Below are 2,122 nucleotides of genomic sequence, written 5' to 3' on the forward strand. Positions count from 1 at the left end.
ACTCCAAGCATAAAAATCTTATAATAGTATAACTCCATCCCCACCCATGTTCCCAAGCTTTATGCTATTTTTTTCAGTTACATTACTTCTGCATATGTTATTATTTTTGCCTTCAATGTCAATAATATCTTACAGAATTATAAATGTCTGTCATTTATATGGACTTCAATATTTACCTTTCCATTTTCCTTTAATCATTTGTGTATTAATTGCATTGTTTTTGATGACTAGTCTGCTGTTTTTTCAGTTTTATTTTACTTATTTTACTCTTGCTGCACTTAAGATTGTCTAGCACCCTTTCACAGTGATTTGGTTATCGTGTATTTGTGAGGTTCTTCATGTTTTTTGTACTTGAAGTTTAGTGAGCTTCTTGGATCTGAAGGCATATAGTTGTCATCAAATTATTGACAGCTATGTTTTTATTTTTTTCCCGCATTCCATCTCTTTCTTTCAGTACACTAGTTATAGTTACATTATTCTGCCTGATGTTGTCTTATAGACCACTTATTCTCTTTTCATTCATCTTTTCCTTCTGTCCTTTTTTCCCCTCTAAGTTGCATTTTGGATGATTTCCACATCTTCAAACTCACTCATCTTTTCTTCTAAATTTTCTAATCTGCTGTTAATCTCATCCAATGCATTTTTCATCTTAGATATTGTATTTCTTCTAGAAATTTACTTGAGTCTTTATTATACTTTCATTTTCTTTTTTACCAAACCCATGTTTTACTCCACTTTTTTGAACATATGAGATCTAACAAAAGAGCTGGCTTAACATCCTTGGCTATAATTATATTATCTTTCATATTTATATATTTGTATTGATTTCTTCACCTCATTGTGAATCATATTTTTCTTCTTTGTACACCTGGTCATTTTAATTGTGTACTGAACTCTTTTGTACACATTTGAATATGTTGGTCTTTTTTCCCTAGAACACAGTTACATTTCTTGGAACTCTTTTATCAATTGGAGTCTTGCTTTTGACCTTAGGCTTTATTAGGTAGGGGAGAGTGACCTTTAATTTTAGCTAATTTGTCCCCATTACTGGAAGAAAATATTTCTGAGGGCGCAACTGGCTAACCTGTATTAGGAGATCTTTCTAGTTGTGTGTGGATTTCAAATATTTTTATACCTTCACATTTATGGTGCTTCTTACAGTGCCTTTTATGTAGCCAAAGACTCAAGGGAAACTTCTGCAAGAGCTAAGACTTCTTCCTGTATATGTAACCCTCTCCTCTCAGATACTCTGCCTACCTGTATACGAATCTCTTTCTCCTCAACTCAGAAGATTCCCATATTTTCTTCTAGTTCTCCTTCCTGGGTTGTGGCTGAGAAATTCTCCATGCAGTGTACTGGGCACTTGCTATGCTCACTTAGTTCATTTCCTCTCCTTTAGGAGATGGCTGTCCTCAACTGTCTGTTGCCCAAGGGCTGAAATTAGTTTTCTCATACATTTTGTACATCGTGTTAATTGTTTAATGTAGGAGAATAAATCTTGTTCCTGTTACTTTTTCATGACTCTAGATCTTATCTTTAGAGTTTTCCATAGCATGTCTGAAAGTATGTAGAAGAAAGAGTATCCAAACCACAGTTTGATCAAAGTGAATCTAACAGGAGCAAAAAAGGTTTGTTCTTATTATACATTTTCCTTATAACCTGATTTAGCACTATGACCATATTTGAAATATACAAGAAAAATTAATTACACTTTGTTTCTTAGAATACTTTGAGAAACATTAGGCATTCATTTGGGGGTGATATTGTAGCATAAACTTTAGAAACATTACCTAATAAACCTCATTGTTGAAAAGTCATCATAAGCATTTAGATATTTGCCATCTGTATGACCTTGAATACGTTGCTTAATCTCTCTATATCTCAGTTTGCTTACTTTTTTTTTTTTTTTTTTTTTTTTGAGACGGAGTCTCGCTCTGTCACCCAGGCTGGAGTGCAGTGGCGCGATCTCGGCTCACTGCAAGCTCCGCCTCCTGGGTTCACGCCATTCTCCTGCCTCAGCCTCCCGAGTAGCTGGGACTATAGGCGCCCGCTGCCACGCCCGGCTAATTTTTTTGTATTTTTAGTTGAGACCGGGTTTCACTGTGCTCGCCACGATGGTCTC

The sequence above is a fragment of the Homo sapiens genome, chromosome 21, assembly GCF_000001405.40.
Source record: "Homo sapiens chromosome 21, GRCh38.p14 Primary Assembly".
Classification (NCBI taxonomy): Eukaryota; Metazoa; Chordata; class Mammalia; order Primates; family Hominidae; genus Homo; species Homo sapiens.